Genomic DNA, 26,002 nt, shown 5'->3' with positions numbered 1-26,002 from the left:
CATCGCCGTCTGTGGGGGATGGTATACCAGCCATGACAGTAATCTTTTGACAACATCCCTTTAAAAGTCCATTCACTCCTATAGCAGAGATCTGTGTGCTTTCTTCCTCTTCCACACCTCATGACAACACACATCCTGCCAAGAAAAACTTTATTCAACAAGCAAGAGGATCCAAGTCTTACAGAGAAAGAAACATACTTCAAACAAGAAACTTTCAGAAAAAGTTCTGTCCACACTAGTAGTTATTAAGCCTAACTACTGCATTTCATCTGAGGTAAATAATACAACCTTGTCAGGAAAACATAACATGCTTAGAAGACTTCCATTGTTGAGTAAAAATTTTTTATATGAAGATATTTAATGACAAGAAAAGCTTAATAAGAGATGTGTGTGTGTATACATATGCATACAATATATTTCATTATGCAAAGAAAAAATACACAGAAAAAGACTGGAAAGAAAATACGCAAAAATGTTAGCAGTAACCAAATCTAAGTGGTAAGATTATAGAAAATGTTTTAAAGATTTTCTAGCACTCCCTGAATTTTGGAAGCTTTGACAAAGATCATGTATTATTTTGAAAAGCAGAAAATTTTTAAACTGCAAAAAGGTGGCATTCACTTGTCATACACGCAAACAAGTGCAAGCTTACAAAACTTAGGCCCTAAGCTGCTTTCACAGATCGTATATTCTAGATTTCGAATACAGCTGCTAATTACTTCCTAACAATTTGAACAAACTACAAAATAAAGCTAAACACTTTCACTTCTGGCTCTACTATAAAGATTTCATAATAAAATAAAATATAAAAACAAAGTTTTACCTTTCTGTAAAAGGTCTACGTCTGGCTTTCTACAGCAGAATATTACTAACCATTTTTTAAAAATCATCAATTTATGTTATTTTACACAAATGCCACCTCAAAGAATGTAGGTTTAGCTTAGTAATTCCAAAGTACATACGCCTAATACAAAGTGCAAGAAGTTTTTATGCACTGTAGCGAACGCACAAATAGAAACACCTTCTGTGTGCAGATGAGCTTATTTTATAGACACCTTTCCATTACCTCTTAAGAGCCTGATATCTAATGAAGCTTTCTGCAAAGGTACTTTGCTTAGCCTGGGCATGGATTTACTTGATTATCTGGGAAGCTGTCAAAATCGATCTGAAACTGCATTACATTCAAGGCACAGAATGTCAACTCCTGACTGGGCCTCCTCCTCTCTCCTTTCACAAGAGCGCCTTTAATATCCCCTAGCCTACATTTCCGGGCTCATGAGTCACTGAGAAATGAGCTCTAAGTTTCTCTTAGAATGCTGCTCAAATAGCTCCTCTACAGCATTCAAGGATCTGGCCCCAAAATACCTCTTTAGCCCAATACCCCCCGCCCCCTGCACCATGCCAACAAACGGAATTATCCATGATTTCTAGGCTTTGTCTTCTCGCTTTTGCTACCCCTTCCACACACCTCTTCTGCAATCCTCCTCTCCTAAATCCCATCAGGCCTTCAAGACTCTGCTCAGCATCCCCCGCCCAGGAAGCCTTCCAGGTTTCTGCGAGGCAGAAGTGATCGGTTCGGTTTTTCCGGGTGCCGTTCTAGCACTCCGTCGTTCTTTCACAGGACTTATCACCTCCTTCCCGGTATCGCAGTTATTTGTGTTCTCGTCTTATCTCTCACACCAGAGCCTAAGCTCCTCGGGGGAGGGGACCGGGGCCCGCTTCACCTTTGAATCCCTCCGGTGCGGGCCGACTACGGCGCCTGCACGCAGTCTGCGCTTGGGGTGGTTCCATTGAACTCCAGAACGCTCCGACCGCCCAATTCCTAACCAGAAATCAGTTAGGCATTTTCCTGAATTGGTCACAAAGCTGGTATCTGCCTCCCGACAACAGGAAGTTTACCAGGGGCGGGAGCGAGGCGCTGAAGCCCGGGTGCAGCCGGTGACAGTTGACCCGGCCCGCACTTCCCCGCCCGCCCGACTCCGGCCCGGACCACCACGCGCCGCCAGCCCCGCCAGAGAACCACGGGGGGAGAGGCAGGAGCGCCTGGACTGCAGGCCCCCGGGCGCCCCACGCCGGCGAAGGCAAAGGGAGCGTCTCAGCGAGGGACCGGAGCCGAGCCGGGCGGAGAGGGCAGGCTGGGCCCGGCTGCTCCCGGGGGCTCCGGGGACAAGCTGGGCCGGGGCCGCCGCCACCCAGGAAAATGGAGGCAGCCCCGGGGCCGGTGAGGGCCCAGCGGGGCAGGCGGAAGCCGGGCAGGCGTCCGCACCACGAGCAGGGCCGGCCGGGGGTCACTCACGGGGCTGGGCCGGGCGTTCCCTTCTCTGCCTCCGCGTCGTCGCTGTCCCCGTCCTCGGCCGCCGCCGCTTCGGGCTGCTCGTTCGGTCCCCGCGGAGTGGCTCGGACGCTCGGCCCCTCCGTTGTCTTCCGCCCGCTCCTGCTCCCGGCGACGGGCTCCCGCGGCGGCGGCGGCTGCGCGGGCGGACGGCTGCCCAGGGGCTCCCGCGGCTGCCGCCGCGCTGCTGCGCTCGCTTGGGCTGCGGCTGCTGCTGTGGGGCCCGGCGCCGCCTTAGTCTTCGCCTGTGCCCCCGCCCCGGCGCCTGAAGGCTCTGTGTCTCCCAGGCCGCGCCGCTCCCCGAACCCCTCGCCCCGCTTGCGGCCCGAGCCCGGCTTTGACGTGCGCACTGCGCAGCCGCCGAGGACGCGACGTCGGGCGGTGCCGCAACGCCCCCTTCCGCCTCGGGCGCCCCCGAGCGGCCGGCGGACTCAGGGCGCCGCAAGTAGGCGCGAGGCCCGAGCGGGAGGGGCCGCAGAGAAAAGCAGAAGCCAAGCCCCGCAGTTCCTCTTCCTCCGCCGCAGCTTCCAAGGCGGGGCTCAGCCCTTTCTCCTCCGCCTGAGCGCTCTTACTGCGGGAATCGCACGCCCACTTTCAACGACCACTTCCTCAACTCTTCAAGCTTAATTCTGCGAGAGGCCGGGATCCCACTTTGTGCAGACCGATTCTTACTTTCTTGGAGCAGATCGCTTCATTTTAGCATCCAGGGGGACACAGCATCCAGGGGGACAAGTGCCAGAACGTTCCAGATTAATGGGAATATTCCTATTTAAATCAGCAACCTGGATTTAAGTCCTGCTCCACCATTTGCTATCTATGGGCTGTTTCACGTCCCTGTGCCTGGATTTCCTCACACATTAAAAAAAAAAGTGTGTAATAATATAGTGGTACCAGCCACGGGCTTCTGAGGATGAACGGGACAGTGCATTGCAAAGCTCTGACAACGGAGCCTGGCACATACAAATGCCATATGTGTGTATTTTTGTTTCTTTGTTTTTAATGTGTAACTGAACTACTTTTTAAGCGCCTCCTGTACGTCAGGGATGGGGCAGTGAGCGAAACAGTCCATGCTCCTAGCACAAACAGTTGACAAATAATTGACTAATAAACCTACAGGTATGTATAATACTGGACAATTGGGCCAGGCGCGGTGGCTCACGCCTGTAATCCCAGCACTTTGGGAGGCCGAGGTGGGCGGATCACGAGGTCAGGAGTTCAAGACCAGCCTGGCCAACACCGTGAAACCCCATCTCTACTAAAAATACAAAAAACAATTAGCCGGGCGTGGTGGCGGGCGTCTGTATTCCCAGGTACTTAGGAGGCTGAGGCAGGAGAATCGCTTGAACCCGGGAGGCGGAGGTTACAGTGAGCCGAGATCGCGCCACTGCACTCCAGCCTGGGCGACGCAGCGAGACTATCTCCAAAAAACAAAAACAAAACAAACAAAAAACAACAACAAAAAAACAAATACTGGACAGTTAAAAACACCACTGGGTGAGGAGGGGAGAGAAAGCAGGGTGTTGTTATTTACAGTGTTCATTCAGGGAGCAGCTTCCTGGAGAGAGAGAGCCTGGGAGCTTTCTGTATGGAAAGGCAGAGGGAATAGCAGGACCAAGGCCCTGAGGCGAGAATCTGCTGGCTTGAAAGCGGCCCCAGATAGGGGAAGAGATGAGGAAGAAGTGCGGCCCTACCAACCAAAGTTAGGACTTCCTGTTTTTACTCTCAAGGAGATGGGAAGCAATTTGAAGGGTTGCGAGCAGAGAAAGGACGTGGAATGACATTTCAGGAGGATCCCTGTGGCTGTGGTATGAGGACCAGACTGAAAGCCCTGAGGGTTTCAGCAGGGGGACCAGCGAGAAGCCTGTTGAAATCAGCCAGCCAAAAGATAAGACTGTCCGGCCGGGCGTGGTGGCTCGCACCTGTAACCCCAGCACTTTGGAAGGCCGAAGCAGGGGGATCACCTGAGGTCAGGAGTTCGAGACCAGTCTGACCAGTATGTTGAAACCCCGTCTCTACTACAAATACAAAAATAACCCCAGCTACTTGGGAGGCTGAGGCTGGAGAATTGCTTGAACCCGGGAGGCGGAGGTTGCAGTGAGCCGAAATCGCGCCACTGCACTCCAGCCTGGGCGATAGAGGGAGACTCCATCTCAAAAAAAAAAAAAAAAAAAAAAAAAGATAAGGCTCTGTCCAGGGTGGTGGCAGTAGAAGAGTAAAATGATCACCTGTAGACACGTTTAAAAGGTGGCTCACGCCTGGAATCCCAACACTTTGGGAGTCCAAGGTGGGAGGATCATTTGAGGTCAGTTCGAGATCACCATGCCCAACATGGTGAAACCCTGTCTCTACTAAAAACACAAAAATTAGCTGGGCATGGTGGCGGGCACCTGTAATCCCAGCTATTCGGGAGGCTGAGACAGGAGAATCGCTTGAACCCGGGAGGCAAAGGTTGCAGTAAGGGGAGATTGCAATGAGCCAAGATTGTGCCACTGCACTCCAGCCTGGGCAATAGAGCAGTACTCAGTCTCAATAATAATAATAATAATAAAAGGTGGCTCACGCTTGTAATCCCACCACTTTGGGAGGCAGAGGAGGAAGGATCACTTGAGGCCAGGAGTTGGAGACCAGTCTGGGCAACATAGTGAGACTCCTGTCTCTAGAAAAAAAAATTAGCCAGGCGTGGTAGCATGTGCCTGTAGTCCCAGCTACTCCAGAGGCTGAGGTGGGAGGATCACTTAAGCCTGGAGAGTCGGGGCTACGGTGAGCTGTGACTGTGCCACTGTCACTCCAGCCTGGGCCACAGAGTGAGACCCTGACTCAAGAAAAAAAATAAATAAATAAAGGGTAAAGCTAAAAGGATTTTCCTGATTTCTAATTTTTTTTTTTCTCAAGCAACTGGAAAATACAATTTGGTGATATGGGGAAAATTTAAGCAGAAACAGATGTGAAGGGAGGAACTTGGAAATTTACTTAGGGACATACAAAGTTTGAGCTGCCTGTTGGACACCCAAGTTGGAAGTTGGACTTAAGAGTTCAGAGGAGAAGTCCTGGCGCGGTGGCTCACGCCTGTAATCCTAGCACTTTGGGAGGCTGAGGCAGGCGGATCACCTGTGGTCAGGAGTTGGAGACCAGCCTGACTAACATGGTGAAACCCCGTCTCTAATAAAAATACAAAAATTAGCCGGGTGTGGTGGCGTGCGCCAGTGGTCCGAGCTACTCTGGAGACTGAGGCAGGAGAATTGCTTGAACCTGGGAGGCAGAGGTTGCATTGAGCTGAGATTGCGCCACTGCACTCCAGTCTGGGTGACAGAGCGAGACTCGGCTCAAAAAAAAAAAAAAAAAAAAAAAAAGAAGACTTCAGAGGAGAAGTCTGGGCCACAGACAGAATTTAGGTGGTTCTCAGAGTAGGTAAAACCTCTGAATTCAGTGAGATCCTTTAGGATGTGAGTGTTACTACTAAGCCCAGTCCCCCAACAATGACAGGTCAGGGAATGGTAAGGAACCAGCAAAGAACCCTGAGAGGGAGGAGCCAGTTTGGTAGGAAGAGATCCAGGAAAATCTGGCCAGGTGAGGGGGCTCATGCCTATAATCCTGGCACCTTGAGAGGCAGAGGCAGGTGGATCACTTGAGGCCAGGAGGTCGAAACTAGTCTGGCCAACATGGTGAAACCCCATCTCTACCAAAAATACAAAAATTAGCAGGGCGTGGTGTTGCATGGCTGTAATCCCAGCTATTCCGGAGAGTGAGGCAGGAGAATTGCTTGAACCCAGGAGATGGAGGTTTCAGTGAGCTGAGATCACACCACTGCCGTCCAGCCTGGGTGACAGAGGGAGACTATGTTAAAAAAAAAAAAAAGAAAGAGAAGGAAAGAAGATCTCAGGTGATCCACTCAGGTGATCTCTACTAAATACAAAAAATTAGCCAGGCGTGGTGGCACATGCCTATAATCCCAGCTACTTGGGAGGCTGAGGCAGGAGAATCGCTTGAACCTGGGAGTTGGAAGTTGCAGTGAGCCGAGATTGTGCCGTTGCACTCCAGCCTGGGCAACAAGAGTGAGACTCTGTCTCAAAAAAAAAAAAAAAAAAAAAAAAAAGCCGAGCACGGTAGCTCACGCCTGTAATCCCAGCACTTTGAGAAGCCAAGGCGGGTGGATCACCTGAGGTCGGGAGTTCAAGACCATCCTGACCAACATGGAGAAACCCCATCTCTACTAAAAATACAAAATTAGCCGGGCATGGTGGCATGTGCCTGTAATCCCAGCTACTTGGGAGGCTGAGGCAGGAGAATCACTTGAACCCAGGAGGCGGAGGTTGCCGTGAGCCGAGATCGCGGCATTGCACTCCAGCCTGGGCAACAAGAGCAAAACTCCGTCTCAAAAGCAGGAGAGGAGGAGAAGGAAGGGGCGGGGAGGGGAGTCCCTAGAAAGAATGGGGGCCCTGGAAAGAAACCATTGGTTTAGACAACATTTTCATGAAGTTTTGTTTCTAATGAGGAGCAGAGAAATGGGGTGATGGCTGGAGGGGAATGTGGGGTCCGAGCAAATGTTTCGTTTTATTTCATTTTGTTTTGTTTTTAGATTGGGAGCTCTTCCAATGTGCTTAAATGCTGGTGGGAATGATTCAGTCGTAAGGGAAAATGTGATGATGAGGGTTGGGGGGTGTTTTCTGGAGAGCTGTCCCTGATTGAGTGAGAAGGGAAAGACGCAGAGTGCACTGGAAGGTCTGGCCTTGAATAGGAGCAAGGCAGGTGAGGTCACGGTTCCAAGAGGGCAGGCAGAATGTGGGCACGAGGCAGAGATCCAGGTAGACGAGGTTCCTGGAACTTGTGGACAGTCCCTTCTGAGGGCTTCGATTTCCTCAGGGAAACAGGAAGAACAGTCATTCATTCGCTCAGTGCAGAGAGGGAGGAGGTGTTGGAAGTTCCAGGGGAGAGGAGCAGGTGTAAAGGACCAGTTGGCAGGCTTATTCCATGTTTTTTAGCAGCCACATTTTGCTGGGAAGGTGGGGAATCTATTCCACCAGGGTTGTTTTTGCTAGATAATTCCATGGAGGGAAACAGGGGAAAGGAAGGTGAAGGTACAATAAGGAAGTAATAATTATGGTGGACTGTTAAATCCACACCTGTCCAGGAGGGAATGAGGAAGGGTTGTGGGCAGTGGGGGGAGAGAGGCCCATGTAGAAGTGGCAGGATCAACGGATGGTTGGAATCAGCACGGTAAGGGAGTGAGCTGGAAGGAAGAACATGCTGGTTGGAGAGCCAGGTCGCTTGCTCCCGAGATTATGGAAGGAGTGGTTTTCAGGAATGATAAGGCCTAGGGCAACTTCTCGAACTATGTGAATTTATAATGTGCATTTCCAGGGGCTCTTGAAGAAATGTAGATAATGGTTTTAGTGGTCTGGAGTGGACCCCTGATTCTGCATTTCTAACAAGCTGAGATGGGAAGGGGTGGAGGAAGATACTGATTTTTTGTTTGTTTGTTTGTTTGTTTGTTTGAAACGGAGTCTCTCTGTGTCACCCAGGCTGGAGTGCAGTGGTGCAGTCTCGGCTCACTACAACCTCTGCCTGTCGGGTTCAAGCAATTGTCCTCCCTGAGCCTCCCAAGTAGCTGGAATTACAGGCGCCTGCCACCACGCCAGGCTAATCTTTGTATTTTTAGTAGAGATGGGGCTTCACCATGTTGGCCAGGCTGATCTCGAACTCCTGACTTCAGGTGATCCACCCACCTCGGTCTCCCAAAGTGCTGGGATTACAGGCGTGAGCCACTGCATCCTGCCAGATACTGATGTTATTCTGATTATTGGCATGATACCAAAACCTCAATAAATGCAACACACAAAAAAGAAAACTAGACTAACCTTGCTCATGAACCTAGATAGGCAGATAGATGGAAAACTTAACTACAAAATATGAAATGTAAGAAAAATGTCAGCACGTTTAAAGTCCATCCCAACCAAGCCCAGCCGTTACGCCGAGAAGGAGGCCTACAGGGGCTGTGGGGCTGGACTCAGAGAGAAATCAGCTGAGGAAACATCCTGCAGCCCTGGAAGTGAGGAGGTGCAAGTTTGCCGATGTCCCTCGGTTCCTCTTTGCTAACCGTGAAAGGGTGGAAGGAAGGTGACCAGCCCACAGGTCAGACTGCAAGTGATGTCGAATTTTGAAACTTTTTTCATTAGGACTTTTTTTTTTAAGATGAGAGTTCTTTGTAACTGTTGTCCCAAAGAGAGGCTTTTATTGTGCTGACATTTCACAAAAACAAGTGTGGACCCAATTTCCCACAGAAAAAAAGAATGCACAGGGGTGGATAATCCCATATACAGGGTTTTAATTGCTTCGCTTTAAGGATCAGAGTAAGATTCCAGATTAATGTCTTAACTGGGAGAAACAGCTGAGAATTGTAGCAGTAAGACAGTAGACATTTCTGATACAGGGGTTTGTAACAAATTCTGAAACCAAACTGGAAGAAATCATGTCGTTTGACCACTTGAATGTACACTGGGAGACATCTTCTAAACCCTTCTATTGGGCTCTCTGGGAAGACCTTTCTATTAAAATGCTTCTCTGTAGACACAACCACTTTCTAGAAAATTCTCCCACCTGTTCATCATGAAATCCTTTTGAACGGAGGCCCTTCATTCTCTAATGAGGGCCCACAGATCTCAGGGTTATAAGGCAGTGCCATGATTCTCGTTGAGTCACTGCTGGCTCTCTGTGTATCTTCCATCACTTTCATTTCCCTTCCTCTCCCCGTGCAGCTTGGAATTAGGATGAAGGCACCTCCCTGCCTTAATCAGACCATCTATGAAAGGACTTTGGAGCCTGACTCACAGCTTCCCTCCCCACCCCACCTGGTGCCTGACCTGACTTCTCCTGGGCAACACCAAGTGCCACTCATCCCATCTATGGGGTCATAGTTGCCTTGTATTCTCTGCTCCAGTGACCTTCAATTCTACTCCACTTCAAAAACCACTTGTTTAGCCCCACCCTGGATACTGCACCAGAAGGACTCTACCTTTGAAGCATGAACTCTAGTTATCTCTTTCGCCTCCCATCCTTCCACCCTACCCACACCCTCAGACTCACCAAACCTGCTGTAAATCTCAATGAAACTTTGTTTATTCAACAAATACTTATTGAGAGTAAAAATTACTGAGCACAAACAGTGAGAATGAGACATTGAACACTGTGTGGTCCTTGCTCTCAGTGAGCTTATAGTCCAGGAAAGACACACAAGAAAATAGGCAACTACAAAAGAGTGAGATAAGAAACACGAATAAGATTTAGTCAAGTGAAGATGGGGTTAAATGTTCAAGGAAAATCATGCAAATAACACCAAAAACATGGTGAACTTAGGGAACTTCATATGGGTAGTTAATTATATAAAGCTTAGAGTTTGAGGAAGGGAATTGGCACCGATAAAGTTGGAGCGATAAGCAAAGGGCCAGTCTTGAACAGCCATATCATCCATATTAAGGAGATTGGGTTTCAACATGAAGATAGTGGGGGTGGGTTAGGTAGGTGGGCATTGAACCTTTAAGCCATTGAGTGACACACTCAAATGTGTACTATAGATTTGGAAACACCACTCTGATCCTGGTGTGTGCTGTGGCTGAGAGGAAGGCCAGATTGAAGGCCGTGAGACCAGCAGGGAGCTGTTCTCATTCTGGGAAGGGGTAATGAGGGCCTGAGCTAGGATTGCAGCAATGGGCATAGGTAAAAGTGAATCCATTAGAAAAAAAATATTTATAAGGTAAGTACTTGGTGTTCTGATGGATGTAGAAGTCTAGGATGTGAGGTCAGGAGTTCGAGACCAACATGGCCAACCAACATGGCCAACCAACATGGCCAACCAACATAGTGAAACCCCATCTCTACTAAAAATACAAAAATTTGCTGGGTGTGGTGGCATGAGCCTGTCATCCCAGCTACTTGGGAGGCTGAGGCGGGAGAATTGGTTGAACCCGGGAGGCAGAGGTTACAGTGAGCCAAGATCATGCCATTGCACTCCAGCCTGGGCAACAGAGTGAGACTCCTTCTCAGAAAAAAAAAAAAAAGTCTAGGATGAAAACCAGGCTTTGCCAGGCACAGTGGCTCATGCCTGCAATCCCAGCACTTTGGGAGGCTGAGGCAGGTGGATCACCTGAGGTCAGGAGTTTGAGACCAGCCTGATCAACATGGTGAAACCCCCTCTCTACTAAAAATACAAAATTAGCCACGTGTGGTGGCATGTGCCTGTAATCCCAGCTACTTGGGAGGCTGAGGCAGGAGAATCACTTGAACCCAGGAGCCAGAGGTTGCAGTGAGCCGAGATCACACCATTGCACTCCAGCCTGGGCAACAAGATTGAAACTCTGTCTAAAAAAAATAAAGAAAGAAAAAAAGGAAAAGCAGGCCAGGCGCGGTGGCTCATGCCTGTAGTCCAGCACTTTGGGAGGCCGAGGCGGGCGAATCATGAGGTGAGAAGATTGAGACCATCCAGGCCAACATGGTAAAGCCCCATCCCTATGAAAAATAAAAAAACTAGCTGGGCGTGGTGGCGCATGCCTGTAGTCCCAGCTACTTGGGAAGCTGAGGCAGGAGAATCGCTTGAACTCGGGAGGCGGATGTTGCAGTGAGCTGAGATCTCACCACTGTACTCCAGCCTAAAGACAGAGCAAGACTCCGTCTCAAAAAAAAAAAAAAAAAAAAAAAAGAAGCTTCCAGTGATCATCCTCCCTGCAGAAACACCAAACTGAGCAACTAACCCCACAAAAAAGCACCTTCCTGAGAACCAAAAATCAAGTGAGAGATTATAGCACCTGGTTTAAACTTCATATCACTGAAAGAGGCACTGAAGAGGGTAGGAAAGATAGTCTTGAATTGCTGATGTTCCCTATTCCCCCATCCCCTGGCAGCAACCATGGGGCACGAAGAGAATCTGTGGTCTTGGGTGAGGGAGAGCACAGTGATTGCAGGATTTTGCATTTCCAGCTGTGGTGGCTATGGGGAGAGAACCATCTGCTTGAGGAAAGGAGTGGGAAGAGTAAAGGGGACTTTGGCAACTTAGGTATCAGCTCAGCCTCAGGGGAGCAGAGCACCAAACAGGCTTTTAGAGTCCCTGATTCTAGGCCGTGGCTCTTGGATGGCATTTCTGGACCTGCCCTGGACCAGAGGGGAGTCTACTGCCCTGAAAGGTGAGTCCTAAGCCTGGCAGCATTCACGGTAAGCTGATTGACGAGCTCTTGGGCCTTGAATGAACATTGGCAGTGGCCAGGCAGTACTTAACTGTGGGCCACGGTGGAATAGAGCATCAGATAGACTCTTAAGGTTTCCTACTCCAGGCCTTGCCTCCCGGATGGCCTCTCTGGACCTCTTTGGGACCAGGGGGATCTTGCTGCCCTCAAGGGAAGGACATGTGCCTGGCTGGTTTTATCACCCAATGATTGTAGAACCCCAGGGCCTTGAGGGAACATAGGTGGTAGCCAGGCAATGGTTACTGTGGGTCTTGGGCATGACCCAGTGCTGTGCAGGCTTCGGGTCTGACCCAGCACAGTCCCAGTGGTGGTGGCCACAGTGGTGCTTTGTGTCACCCCTCCCCCAGTTCCAAGCAGCTTAGCACAGAGAGAAAGAGACTCTGAAAGAAAGTAAAGGGGCTGGGCACAGTGGCTCACGCCTGTGATCCCAGCACTTTGGGAGTCTGAGGAGAGAGGATCACTTGAGCCCAGGAGTTCAAGACCAGCCTGGGCAACATAGCAAAACCCCATCTCTACAAAACATACAAAAATTAGCCTGGCCTGGTGGCGCATGCTTGTAATCCCAGCTACTCGAGAGGCTGAGGCATGAGAATTGCTTGAACCCGGAAGGTGGAGGTTGCGGTGAGCTGAGATCACACTACTGCACTCCAGCCTGGGCAACAGAGTGAGACTCTGTCTGGAAAAAAAAAAAAAAAAAGAAGAAAGACAGAAAGAGAGAAAGGGAGAAAGAGAGAAAGAAAAGGAAGAGAACAAGATTCTCTGCCTGGTAATTCAGATAATTCTTCCAGCTCTTATCCAAGACCACCAAGGCGGTACCTCTATGAGTGAGTCTACATGAGTTGCAGCATTGCTGGGTTTGGAGTGCCCCCTAATATAGACACGGTAGCAGTGACCAAAAACTTAGATTACAACACCCAAGTCCCTTCAAATACCTGGAAATTTTCCCAAAAAGGATGGGTACAAACAAACCCGGACTGCAAAGACTACAATAAATATCTAACTCTTCAATGCCCAGAAACCAGAAAATATCCACAAGCATCAAGACCGTCCAGGAAAACAGCTCGTCAAACAAACTAAATAAGACATCAGGGACCAGTCCTGGAGAGACAGAGATATGGGAACTTTCAGACAGACAATTCAAAATAGCTATTTTGAAGAAACTCAATAAAATTCAAGATAACACAGAGAAGGAATTCAGAATACTATCAGATAAATTTAACAAAGAGATTGAAATCATTAAAAAGAATCAAGCAGAAATTCTGGAGTTGAAAAACACAACTGACATGCTGAAGAATACATCAGAGTCTCCTACCAGCAGAATTGATCAAGCAGAAGAAAGAATTAGTGAGCTTGGAGACAGGCTATTTGAAAATAGAGGAGACAAAAGAAAAAAAAAATTAAAAAGAATGAAGTATGCCGGCTGGGTGCGGTGGGTCACACCCGTAAACCCAGCACTTTGGGATGCTGAGGTGGGTGGATCACCTGAGGTCAGGAGTTCGAGATCAGCCTGATCAACCTGGAGAAATCCTGTTTCTACTAAAAATACAAAAAATAAAAATAAAAATAGCCAGGTGTGGTGGTGCATGCCTGTAATCCCAGCTACCCGGGAGGCTGAGGCTGGAGAATCGCTTGAACCCGGGAGGTGGAGGTTGCAGTGAGCCAAGATCATACCACTGCACTCCAGCCTGGGCAACAAGAGCAAAAACTCCATCTCAAAAAAAAAAAAAAAAAAAAAAAAAAAAAAAGAAACGTGCCTACAGGATCTAGAAAATAACCACAAAAGGACAAATCTAAGAGTTGCTGGCCTTAAAGAGGAGGTAGAGAGAGAGTTAAAAGTGGAAGGTTTATTGAAAGGGATAATAACAGGGAACCTCTCAAATGTAGAGAAAGATATCAGTATTCCAGTACAAGATGGTTATAGAACACCAAGCAGATTTAACCCAAATAAGACTACCTCAAGACATTTAATAATAAAACTCCCAAAAGTCAAGGATAAAAAAAATGATCCCAAAAGCACCAACAGAAAAGAGACAAATAATATACAATGGAGCTCCTATATGCCTGGCAGCAGACTTCCAAGTCTTCTTTACAGGCCGGGAGAGAGTGGGATGACATATTTAAAGTGCTGAAGGAGGCCGGGCATGGTGGCTCATGCCTATAATCCCAGTACTTTGGGAAGCCGAGGCAGGCAGATCACTTGAGGTCAGGAGTTCAAGACTAGCCTGGTCAACATGATGAAAACCTGCCTCTACTAAACATACAAAAATTAGCTGGGCATGATGGTGCATGCCTGTAGTCCCAGCTATAGGGGAGGCTGAGAATCACTTGAACCCGGGAGGCAGAGGTTGCAGTGGGCGGAGATTGTGCCACTGCACTCCAGCCTGGGTGACCTAGCAAGACTCTATCTCAAAGAAAAAAAAAAAATCAAAAAAATTGAAATAATGTCAAGTCATCTTCTCTGACCATAATGAAATAAAACTAGAAACCAATAATGATAGGAATTTTGGAAACGATACAAATACATGGAAATGAAACAATATGCTACTGAGTGACCAGTGGGTCAATGAAAAAATTCAGAAGGAAAGTGAAAAATTTCTTGAAACAAATGAAAATGGAAACACAACATAAAAAAACTTAAGGGATACAGCAAACACAATACTAAGAGGAAAGTTTGTAGCTATAAACGCCTGCATCAGAAAGCTACAGAAGGTTCTAGAAAAGAGAATTTTGTCATGGTCAAGGCTTACTAAGATTTGATGGACTTATTTATGATTTTTTAAAAGAGCTTTACTATCAAATATACTGATACAAAACTAGAATTTTTCTCTCTGTTAAAATGAGAAAAGTATTGGTCTGTCCTTATTAAGTAGTGTGTGGTAGACTGAACAATGCCTCTCCTCCACCCCCAAGATGTCCACATCCTAATCCCTGGAACCTGTGAATACGTGACCTTAGGTGGTAAAGGGAACTTTGTAGAAGTGATTAAGATCCTTGAAGTGGGGAAATTATCCAGGATCCTCTGGTGGGCTCAGTGTAATCAGAACGGTGTTTATAAGCGTGAGGCAGGAGAATCAGAATGAGGAACAGGTGATGTGGGAAGGGACATGGTGGGAAAGAGATTGGAAGATCCTCTGCTGCTGGCTTTGAGATAGAGGAGGGGCCCTGAGCCAGGAATGAAAGGGGGCCCTAGAAGCTGAAAAAGGCAAGGAAATGAGTTGTCTTCCTAAAGTCTCCAGAAGGAACCAGTTTTGCTGACACCTTAACTTTTAGTCCAGTGAGACTGATTTGGGACTTCTGATCTCCAGAACTCTAAGACAATAAATAACACCCCTTAAGTGTGTGGTAATGTGTTGGCACAGCAAAAGGAAATGAATACAAGATTGTGAAAGAGTATTCTTCACTTTCTTTGTAGTTTGCCTGGGGAACAAAGATTCTGTGTTTTACCAGAAGAACCTTCTCTGGTTTATGTTGACTTTAAGATGTCCTTGATTTTTTAATTATTTTTTATTATTTTTTTGAGACAGAGTCTTGCTCTGTGGCCCAGGCTGGAGTGTAGTGGCGTGGTCTTGGCTCACTGCAACCTCCACCTCCCAGGTTCAAGCGATTCTCCTGCCTTAGCCTCCCGAGTAGCTGGGATTACAGGTACGCCACACCTGGCTAATTCTGTATTTTTAGTAGAGACGGGGTTGCACCATGTTAGTCAAGCTGGTGTCCTTGATTATTTAAGAGAGCAAAGTTTTCTCACTTAGGAAAAAGTAAGATTCTTTATAATTATGTTACCTCCCATGTTTATTTTAAAAAATATTTTATTGTCACTTTAAGTAGTCAGGAATTGTTTCACAGTAGCTCATGATCCTACCTTAATGAGGTGTTCAAGTCTCCTGATAACTTAATATTTTGCCTTCCCTAAATTAATCCTAAATAATATCTTCTGCACCCAAAACTATCTTTGAGATTTCCCAGAGAAAAAGACCACAAATGATTTTTTTTCACCCCGTAAAAAGAGAAGTGCTGGAAATAATTAGGTTTATTTGATATATTATTGATGAGTTGAATGGAAAGAGTCCTCAAATCAGAAGAAATACTTAGTCTTGTCCAGGTTAAATTTGTATCACAAAGTGTTATTAAATACAGATATTTCAGGAATTGTATGCTATGTGAAAAATTCCTAGAGATCCATCAACGCCTTTATTGTCCATATGTTTGTTGGTGCAGCTTTATCTGATGTTAGACAACCACAGAATATCATTTTCAGTCATAATTTCAGCTATCTCTTAAGGTGGTAACTCAATCGTAACTTCTGTAATTTGTTTTTTTTTTCAATTTTTATTTATTTTTATATTTTTGAGACAGGGTCTTGCTCTGTCACCCAACCTGGAGTGTAGTGGCTTGATCTCAGCTCACTGCAACCTCTGCTTCCCAGGTTCAAGCGATTGTCCTACCTCAGCCTCCCAAGTAGCTGGAACTACAGGTGTGCACCACCACACCCAGATAATTTTTGTATTTTTTGTTGAGACAGGGATTTGCTATGTTGCCCAATCTGGTCCTGAACTCCTGAACTCAAGCGATCCCCCCACGTCAGACTCCCAAAGTGCTGGGATTACAGGTGTGAGACACTGCACCCAGCCATAACTTTTTAAATTTGAATATAGCATCTCCTATACCAGCAGTTTTCTTTCTTTTCCTTCCTTCCTTCCTTCCTTCCTTCCTTCCTTCCTTCCTTCCTTCCTTCCTTCCTTCTCTCCCTCCCTCCCTCCTCCCTCCCTCTCTCCCTCCCTCTCTCCCTCCCTTCCTTCCTTCCTTTCAGACAGAGTCTCACTCTGTCACCCAGGCTGGAGGGCAACCTCAGCTCACTGCAACCTCCACCTCCTGGGTTCAAGTGATTCTTGTGCCTCAGCCTCCTGAGTAGCTGGGATTACAGGCATGCACCACCGTGCCTGGCTAATTTTCATATATTTAGTAGAGATGGAGTTTCACCATGTTGGCCAGGCTGGTCTCAAACTCCTGGCCTCAAGTGATCTGCCCATCTTGGCCTCCCGAAGTGCTGGGATTACAAGCATGAGGCACTGTACCCGGCCCTGCCAGGGGTTTTCAACTGGGGACTGACATCACCTACCTGTGAAGTTTTATTAGTATGCAGATGTTTTGGACCTATTCCATATTTACAGAATCTCTTCACTTTATGTTCTTTATATATTCTTAATATATTCTAACAATATGTTTAGTATATTAGTGGTATATTATGTTGGTATTATTATATGTTATACCTAAAGATTTTTTCTCGGTAAAGATTATGTTCCTCTGTTTTTATAAATTGGAGATAGCATTCACTTTTCTTTGGAAGTAGGGTTACTCATTATGTTTGTAAATATTTCATCCAAAACAGTTTTTAGATTGATTTTCTTATTTTGGTTTGCATGCCACAGAAACAAACAACATCCCTGTCAGTTTTACTATTCTTGTTATAAACTCCCAGCAGATCTTTCACTTCTGAAAATTGTCAATAGTTAAGCACAGCCATTTTATTTTATTTTATTTTATATATATATTTTTGTGAGATGGAGTCTCACGCTGTCACCTAGGCTGGAGTGCAGTGGCACAATCTCGGCTCACTGCAACCTCTGCCTCCTGAGTACAAGCTATTCTCGTGCCTCAGCCTCCTTAGTAGCTGGGATTATAGGTATGCGCCATCATGCCCAGCTAATTTTTGTATTTTTAGTAGAAACGGGGTTTCACCATGTTGGCCAGGCTGGTCTCGAACTCCTGACCTTGTGATCTGCCCGCCTTGGCCTCCCAAGGTGTTGGGATTACAGGTGCGAGCCACTGCGCCCGGCCTAAGCACAGCCATTTTATTTTGTCATCTACTGATAGGGTTTTTTGTTTTACTCTGATGCTTCCCTGAAAGCCCTTGTAATCAGCTACAGACCACAGTGCTTCATCTTCAACAAAGAAGGACTGTCTCAGAGACATGCAGTAAAGGACTATGCGAGGGACTTTAAGTGCAAGCTTCTGGCGGCATCATTCAAACAGCTATGAGACCACATCAGTGGACTGAGTCAGGATTTCTAGAACTCTAGTTGAGACGCTGGTTAGTTCATGAGATGACCAACTCAAAATCCAGTGGAACAAGAATTTATTACCTAAGACTAAATGAACTGATAAGGAATGATGGTGGGTTTTGTTTGCAATGTTTTAGATGTGGTTTTAATGTTCCATTTTCTGCATATGAAGGAACCCCCTTCTCTTCTCTTAAGCTCTCTATGACTCGTAACAGTTTGGCAGACTTTGGTAACCAGAAACAAACCATTTTTAAATATCTTATTCTCCCTCCCTGACCTCTCCAAAATTCAGAAACTCTCATTAAGTATTCTTAATTTTATGGCAATATGATTATTTGCATAGGTTCAATGAGAATCTGCCTTCCTTATTAACAGGACATAATTGGAAATATTGATTATGCACCCAAAACTTTGCCTGAAATATCATGTTTGAGAATGATGCTCATTTAATCAGAAATCACCTGATACATTAAAGTAACTAGGATTGACTTTATGGAGCCAATGCTTGCCAGCCCTCTGACTTACAGAGTTGTCAGCCTTACACGTAAGTTAGGAAGGTCACTTCCTTGCAAGCCCGTGAACTGTAGGATATTGAGGGGTCCTTGAGAAGAGAGGAATTTGCTCATATTTATAGGTACCAGAAGTAATTTGGATGTCAAGTTCTTGGTGTGGCTTCCTAGTCTCAAGAGGCTTTCAAACGTCCAATCTGAGATACCTTATTAAAGCTTCCAGCAAAGCAAGTTTAAGGAGGCCTATCTGCTAAAGTACCATTCTTGCTGCTCCTGTGTAAATAGTGAGACTATACCTAATAAGGCCAGCCTTATTTTGTGATGATGAAAAATTTTTCTTTGAGATTATCTTTGTCAAAAGACAGGTGTCTAAAATGAGAAATTTTATGTTTCAATATGTAGCACACCCTTCTGGTTATCAGACTCCAGCCCTGTGCATTGCCTTTGAGTCTTCTTGGACCTCTTTACACACTGCAGGTAGCTGATGACTATGCAAACTCTGTCTTGTCTGATGAGATTTAATTGGCTGCCTTTCCCTACTCCTCATAGAAAAACCAGTTTGGGAACCTACCTTTAAATTTGATTAGATCCTGTTGCCTTGCCCAAATTGTCAATCCTTACCAGGTTTTCAATTTCTCCAGTTTTCTTCAATATCTGACTACAGTCCTCCAAACTAACTTTCACATTTTTTCTTCCTCAAGCCTGAATTGGCATCACCAAGAATTAACACCCGACTGCCCAAATCCCTGTCAGGACTGTGGGTTGCCTTGCAGCTGGCCTTTTCTCCCAGAATCTGAAGGAGTTCTACAAGCTGAGGCTTAGCGATTTGGCATAAACCTTGAAAGACTCAGCCCTTCAGGATACCATGAATTCTCCCTGGACAAGCTGCTGCCTGGACCACTAAGGAAGCCCAGCAAAATGCTCAGGCCATGTATGCCCTTTCGTGACAAGTGCCAAGATTGTGGACAATATCACAAGACATTGACAGCTTTAAGAAACTCAAAAACTGGTGCTGGAAGATTTTCTTCTGCTAACCTCTTGGAATTCACTGAACCAGCTAATTCTCAGATTCAACTACTGGCTTTTACTTTAATGTAACTTTTATATTATTATTTCGTTATTTTAGACATCCCTCTTTATATATATATATTTTTACTTTTTATTATTTTTTTTCGAGATGGAGTCTTGCTCTGTCGCCCAGGCTGGAGTGCAGTGGTGTGATCTCGGCCCACTGTAGCCTCTGCCTCCTGGGTTCAAACAATTCTCCTGCCTCAGCCTCCTGAGTAGCTGGGACTACAGTCGCCCTCCACCATACCCGGCTAATTTTTGTATTTTTCGTAGAGACAGGATTTCACCATGCTTAGACATCCCTCTTTTAAGATGCCTGAGGGGTAGAGGGCTGGGGGAGGGATAGCATTAGGAGAAATACCTAATGTAATTAGGGTTGATGGGTGCAGCAAACCAACATGGACCGTGTATACTTGTGTAACAAACCTGCACGTTGTGCACATATACCCTAGAACTTAAAGTATAATAATGAAAAAAAAAAAACAGATGCCTGTTCTCCTGGACCCTAAAACAACTCACCTCTTAACAGATGGTTGAACTGGTTTCACGGGAACAGCACCAACAAGAATGTAAGAGAGTCTGTTCATTAGGCCCTGCTTCACCCCACTCAGGCAGTGCCTGCATTCTTCAGTCTGAATTCTTCAGTGATCGGGAATATTCATCTTGAACAAGAGCTGGGACTGACAATATTAAACTTTTTTTTTTTTTTTTTTAGATAGAATCTTACTCTGCTGCCCAGGCTGGAGTGCAGTGGCACGATCTTATGATCGTAGCTCCCTGCAGCCTCTGCCTCACAGGTTCAAGCAATTCTCCTGCTTCAGCCTCCCGAGTAGCTGGGATTACAGGCGTGTGCCGCCACACCCGGCTAATTTTTGTATTTTTTTAGTAGAGACGGGATTTCACCATGTTGGCCAGGCTGGTCTTTGAACTCTTGACCTCAAGTGATGCGCCCACCTCGGCCTCCCAAAGTGCTGGGATTACAGGCATGAGCCACCATACTTGGCAAGTATTGAACTTTATCTGAGCACTGTACAACTTCAGCAGTGATGATTAAGAAATGTCTCTACCTTTCTGTGTTTCAGAAATGGCAAAGCAGATGACCGCAAAAGGCCACACTGCCCTCCCAGTTTCTTCCAGAAGACTGGTCTTCATCCTGCCTCATGACTCCCATAGACTCCAGGGTGCCTCCCTCTTTTTTTTTTTGAGACAGAGTCTGGCTCTGTCATCCAGGCTGGAGTGCAGTGGCGCAATCTCAGCTCACTGCAACCTCTGCCTCCTGGGTTCAAGCGATTCTCCTGCCTCAGCCTCCGCAGTAGCTGGGACTACAGGCATGCACCACCATGCCTAGCTAATTTTTTTTTTTTTGTATTTTTAGTAGAGACGAGGTTTCACCATGTTGGCCAGGCTAGTTTCAAACTCCTGACCTTAGGTGATCTGCCCACTTCGGCCTCCCAAAGTGCTGGGATTACAGGCATGAGCCACCGCGCCTGGCCAATGCCTCCCTCTTTTACCTTCGTCTGCAAAATCCCAGGCCCCCTTCCTTTTCTTTGAGATGTCCCTCATTAATGAGCATTCTCTTCATGGCACTAGCTTGAATAAAACCATCTCCTTAATCGTCAAGTGAATTTCGTCTGTCACAGTGCCAGCGACGAACTCTCATAAGGGCAGCCAGCACTTCGCCCCTGACTGTCCTGCTGGAGTGACAACCATCTGTGCTGAGCCTCTTTGCAGTCCTCCTGTGGCTCATCCCTCGGACAGCCGCCCTTTCAACATCTCAGGTATGAGCAAGTTCAGAGAAGGAAGTGTGGCCCTAGACACCTCAGGCAGTGGTGCAGTTGTGGAGGGGAAACTCCCACATTCTGTCTTGAGTGAAATAGAAAGGAATTGGTCTGAGATGCTTCTGAGCTGAGACAGTGGTAAACACACCCAGGTATGCCTTTATCGGAAGGAGGAAATAATATCCAGGCAGCTTAGGTCCCACCCTGGACAGGCATTGGGCAGAAGCCAGGCCAAGGCAGAACTGGACTGGAGCAGGTGCCACTCAGGTCTTGGAGCTGGCTTAGTGACCAGTATGAAGGCCAAGGGTAAGCCTGGAAGTTAAAAGTGCCAAGGGGAGGCTGGGCGTGGTGGCTCACGCCTGTAATCCCAGCATTTTGGGAGATTGAGAAGGGTGGATCACCTGAGGTCAGAAGTTTGAGACCAGCCTGACCAACATGGTGAAACCTGGTCTCTACTAAAAATACAAAATTAGCCAGGCATGGTGGTGCACACCTGTAATCTCCACTACTTGGGAGGCTGAGGCAGGAGAATCACTTGAACCTGGGAGGTGGAGGTTGCAGTGAGCCAAGATCACGCCATTGTACTCCAGCCTGGGCAACAGGAGCGAAATTCTGTCTCAAAAAACAAAACAAAACAAAACAAACAAACAAACAAACAAAAAAAAACTGCCAAGGGGAAGCCCTACAATCTGGGGAGGGGGAGGCCAAAAAAATAAAAGGCATGCACATTTTTAATCAATCTGACCTCATCTCATTCCCCTTCTTGGTGGGGGCACAGGACAGGCAGTGATGGCTCCACTGGGTTGAGTGTGTAGTCAGGGGTGTTTGAAGGCAGCAAGCAACAGGACTTGCCATCTCTGCAACTTCACAGGAATCGAAAGGTGCTCTTCCTGATTTCAGCAAGGTCATGTGACAAAAAGGGTGAGGAGACCCAGATGATGTCTCCATTCTGTAATCATCTCTTTGGCTGCCTGAGGCTCCACCATCCATAGTTGATTTTCCTTTGATGTGTCAGATACCTGCTTCAGCTTGATAAAACAAGCATGTCGGTGGCGAGGTCCCGCGGGCTAGTGATAACCGGGGAACCCCTGAGAATTCTTAGGGACTTTGGGTATTCTCTGTGATGTTCCCAGGCCTTGCCCAGTGCCTGTACAGAGGAGGCAATTCATGGTGCTTGAGAATCTGTACTTACTGCAGAAAGTGTGTTCTGGGTCATATAAAGAATAACAAAGTAAGCCGGGCATGGTGGCTCACACCTGTAATACCAGCACTTTGGGAGGCCGAGGTGGGCACAGCACTTGAGGCCAGGAGTTCAAGACCAGTCTGGGCAACATGGCAAAACCCCGTCTCTACTAAAAATACAAAAATTAGCCAGGCGTGTTGGTGCCTGCCTGTAATCCCAGCTACTCAGAGGCTGAGGCATGAGAATTGCTTGAACTTGGGAAGTGGAGGTTGCAGTGAGCCAAGACCATGCCACTGCACTCTAGCCTGGGTGACAGAGTGCGACTCTATCTAAAAAAAAATAATAATAATAACAAAGTAGAAAGACTCATCAGAAGCAAGATAGGAGAATGAGTTATGCTGACTGTATGGCATGTAGCCAGGGGAGATGTTAAAATTATTCAGTAAGTATAACTATACAGGCACCAACTAAATACAGTGGATTCCAGCTGAAAATCAGTCTTGTGTGTAGCGGTGGTAGGATGCCTCTGAGGACTGGCCCACTTATTGTTTTTTGTTTTGAGATGAAGTCTTGCTCTGTTTCCCAGGCTGGAGTGCAGTGGTTCACTGCAACCTCTGCCTCCCGGGTTCAAGTGATTCTCCTGCCTCAGCCTCCTAAGTAGCTGGGACTGCAGGTGCCCGCCACCACACGGGGCTAATTTTTGCATTTTTGTAGAGGCAGGGCTTTACCATGTTGGCCAGACTGGTCTCAAACTCCTGACGTCAAGTGATTTACCTGCCTCGGCCTACCAAAGTGCTAGGATTACAGGTGTGAATCCTAGCACTGCGTCTGGCCACACTTTCAACAAAGATGGGGGATAGAGAGGTAGACTGACATACATTAGGCTTTGTACTATGTCTCCAGAATTGGGATGCAAACTGTGGCCAGTGGGTAGTTCGTGGATTTAGGACTCAACCTTGATGAACAGAGCTATGATGGCTGGAAGTGGGGCTCTGGTACAAGAAATGGTGTGGATTGTCTTGTTTATGTCATCCATAGCACCAGCATTTCAAGGGACCAAGAATATTACAGAGTCCAGTTTTTCAGAGGCTCTGGCATCAGAAATGAGTAAAGAAGTCTTCATTGTCTTCCTAGGCCTGACCTTGACCTGAGTATGTCTTGCCAGAAGATCTGACATCTGCGTCCCTCTACGTTGATGTCATGGCAGAATGCACACCCGTATTCTGGCTTTTTCCCCAAGGAACATGCTGGAGGGGTCAAAATGGCAGAGCTAGCCCCCTGCCCCGTTCTCTGCACTTTTGGAATCCCTGCAGAATGGGTGGGAGACCTTGTCTAGGGACGGCTGTGGTAGGCATTGGCTTGCAGCTGGTATCTGGTTATGCTGGTGGATTTTAAGATTGCTCAGTGATAACTGTTTCACGATGGAGAATCTTCTTCAAGTCAGGGTGGTCTTGGCTGACTCCTGTTATTTGGGCTTGTATAACAAGGTTTTAACCAAGTGGTTGCCTAGAACCTGGTTGTTTGAAAATTCCAATCGTTCAAAGTTAAGTGCCTACTCTAAGTGGCCAAGACTAAGTTTTCCTGGCTCAAAGTGGTGTCAAGCTGCAGTGGCCGTTCCTCAGGGACCTCTGATGCCAAGTTTCATCTCTCTAAGCCTTAAAGCCTATTTTTATGTAATTCATGTGCTTGGAGATGACTTTGAACAGGACTGGTCTTTTAAAAATAAGCAGAAGAACAAAAGTCCTCTAGCAATATCATGGCCCTATATGCATGGCTGAGAGGTTCCCAAGTCGGCAGACAGCTCCATGTCCAACTACCTAAGTGAGGATGAAACCAAAGTCTTCCAGTTAGGGGGGCCAGGAGCAGTGGGGTGTCCAGCAAGGGTTGCAAGGAGTAGTCAAGGACCTCTGTGGTTATGCTCTTGGCACCAATGGGGCACCCTAGAAGCAGGGACTCATCTGTGCTGTCTGTCCATACTGGTGTGTCCCTGAGTTCAGAAGACTCCCTGACATCCTGTAATCTAATGTGACAAGCATTACAGTAACTCGCGGTTCCACAGGTAGTCAGATCCTTTCTGCCTTAGGTCTTAGGGCAGAGGGTTGAGTTTGGATTCCTGGTGGATGACATCATTCTTGGTGGTTGGGAGGGGAATAGGAAAGGAGCATCTATTAAGCAGAGGAATGTGCCGTGGTTCCCTTGCATGATTTGCCCATTTGACTGGTGAGTATGTGTGCTGGGGGGAGGTGCACATAGGTGAATGTGTGGGTGTGTGTGAGTGGGTATGATGTGTAAATGTGGGGGAGGTTCAATGAGAGGTGGCCCAGAATACTTGTATAGGAAGCCTACTGACCACCCCAGGCAGTGCCTGCTGGCTGGGCTGGTCAGGAAGTCAAGAAGCAGTAGAGCCCTATTTACCTGGCATCTTCTGCCCTGTTCATCTACGGATTAAAAAAAAAAAGTAGGCTGGGTCTGCCAGGTGGGACAAGCACCAATACAGACACGCCTGACCCCCCACTAGAGGACAACCAGTGACCTCTGCCAGTGTGTGCACTGGCTCACCTTCTCGAATAAGAAGGATCCAGGGGTCAGGGCCATGCAGGAAATGGGATGGAGGCACCAGACCCATACACTCAAGCAGCAGCCGTGGCTGGAAGCCAGCTTTCTCAAGATTCTGCTACAGTGGAAGAGAGCCCGGGGAAGCTGCCAGCTACTTGGTTTCGTCCCACTGCTTCCAAAAGGAATTGTTCAGCTGCTCCTGGAGTGATGCAGAAGATGGGCTCTTTCTGGTCCACGCATGGTCTGGGTGACCGCGCCTGGACTGCTGCAGCTACGATGCAGCTGATGGGCTTAGCAACTGGCCTCCACTTGTCAGCAGGGCCCCCAAGAAGGAGCTGCGATATCTCCAGCTATTTTAGGACCAATGCAGAAGATTGCCACGGTGTCTGAGGAACAGTACATCACAGTACATAAGGTACATAAAGTGTGTTGGAGATGGCCCAGATCAAATTCATCAAACTGAAACTTGATTTCTTTCAGGCTGAAGATCTCTGTGTACAGTCACAATCTTGGTGCAGCTTCTGCAGACCCTGGTGCATCCAGTCATACCAATTCCACATCCACAGCACATGCTACTAGCCACTTCCAGGATCATTAAAATACATTTCTGGCCATTTCTGGACCCAGTCCAAAGATAAAGACTGACTATGCAACAAACAAATGACAGATTAAAGGAGACAAAAATTACTTTCACAATGTATAATTACCAACAATGTAACATTTTATTAAATGTGTCTGTAGTCTGCATATCTGTGTTGACTATTGGTGTTCAGTGGCCCAGGCCTATTTTATAGTGATTATACCACAAACCACCCCACAACCCAAAGCACAAGGCTACATTATGGGTGGATGAGATACCTCTAATAACATAAAATCCCAATGAATTCAATAATCATTTGCATGCTCCTGGTTAAAATTACCAAGCAAATTAACCCTAACACCATGGGATGTTTCTAATTAAAATTACACTGAAACAGGCCGGGTGCGGTGGCTCATGCCTGTGATTCCAGCGCCTTGGGATGCCAAGGCAGGTGGATCACTTGAGGCCGGGAGTTTGAGATCAACCTGGCCAACATGGTGAAACCCCCTCTCTACTAAAAATACAAAAATTAATCGGGCATAGTGGCACAAGCCTGTAATCCCATCTTCTTGGGAGGCTGAGGCAAGAGAATTGCTCGAACCCGGGAGGTGGGGGTTGCAGTGAGCCAAGATTGCACCACTGCACTCCAGCCTGGGTGACAGAGCAAGACTCTGTTTCAAAAAACAAACAAAAAACAAAAAAATAAA

General features: G+C 46.9%; 2 protein-coding genes and 1 long non-coding RNA gene across 7 annotated transcripts in view, besides 1 other annotated feature; 2 read left to right on the top strand and 1 right to left on the bottom strand.

Annotated features, from left to right (window-relative positions):
* CAB39 (calcium binding protein 39) overlaps nucleotides 1-2,685 on the bottom strand; it is a 108,234-nt gene extending 105,549 nt beyond the window's left edge. For 3 of the 5 annotated variants that reach the window (XR_007076406.1, XR_007076407.1, NM_016289.4), the window contains exon 1: nucleotides 2,297-2,685. The gene's annotated coding sequence lies outside the window, so the exon portion shown is untranslated. Of the gene's footprint in view, nucleotides 1-1,468; nucleotides 1,980-2,296 lie in introns of those variants that run through there. The other 2 variants (NM_001130849.2, NM_001130850.2) reach the window with 2 other exon arrangements.
* Nucleotides 1,974-2,913: a silencer, noted in NCBI's record as "silent region_12412". NCBI's record gives its function as "represses an Ori minimal core promoter by ATAC-STARR-seq in GM12878 lymphoblastoid cells {active_cell/tissue: GM12878}" and the evidence as "EXISTENCE:reporter gene assay evidence [ECO:0000049][PMID:35858748]".
* On the top strand, nucleotides 2,201-25,462 carry LOC124907996 (formin-like protein 16). Its single transcript, XM_047446832.1, has 4 exons — nucleotides 2,201-3,448; nucleotides 18,832-19,224; nucleotides 20,281-20,976; nucleotides 25,196-25,462. Exon 1 carries the CDS (start codon nucleotides 2,201-2,203, stop codon nucleotides 2,957-2,959), a length of 759 nt encoding a protein of 252 aa, XP_047302788.1. The 3' UTR covers nucleotides 2,960-3,448; nucleotides 18,832-19,224; nucleotides 20,281-20,976; nucleotides 25,196-25,462.
* LINC01907 (long intergenic non-protein coding RNA 1907) lies at nucleotides 14,998-24,606 on the top strand. Its single transcript, NR_040038.1, has 4 exons — nucleotides 14,998-15,204; nucleotides 18,832-19,224; nucleotides 20,281-20,976; nucleotides 23,294-24,606. It is a non-coding gene; the product is annotated as a long intergenic non-protein coding RNA 1907 (long non-coding RNA).
* Nucleotides 25,463-26,002: the final 540 nt, after the last annotated feature.

The sequence above is a fragment of the Homo sapiens genome, chromosome 2, assembly GCF_000001405.40.
Source record: "Homo sapiens chromosome 2, GRCh38.p14 Primary Assembly".
NCBI classification, from domain to species: domain Eukaryota; kingdom Metazoa; phylum Chordata; class Mammalia; order Primates; family Hominidae; genus Homo; species Homo sapiens.
The sequence above is the reverse complement of the archived record's forward strand: the minus strand, read 5'-3'. Positions and strand labels throughout refer to the sequence as shown.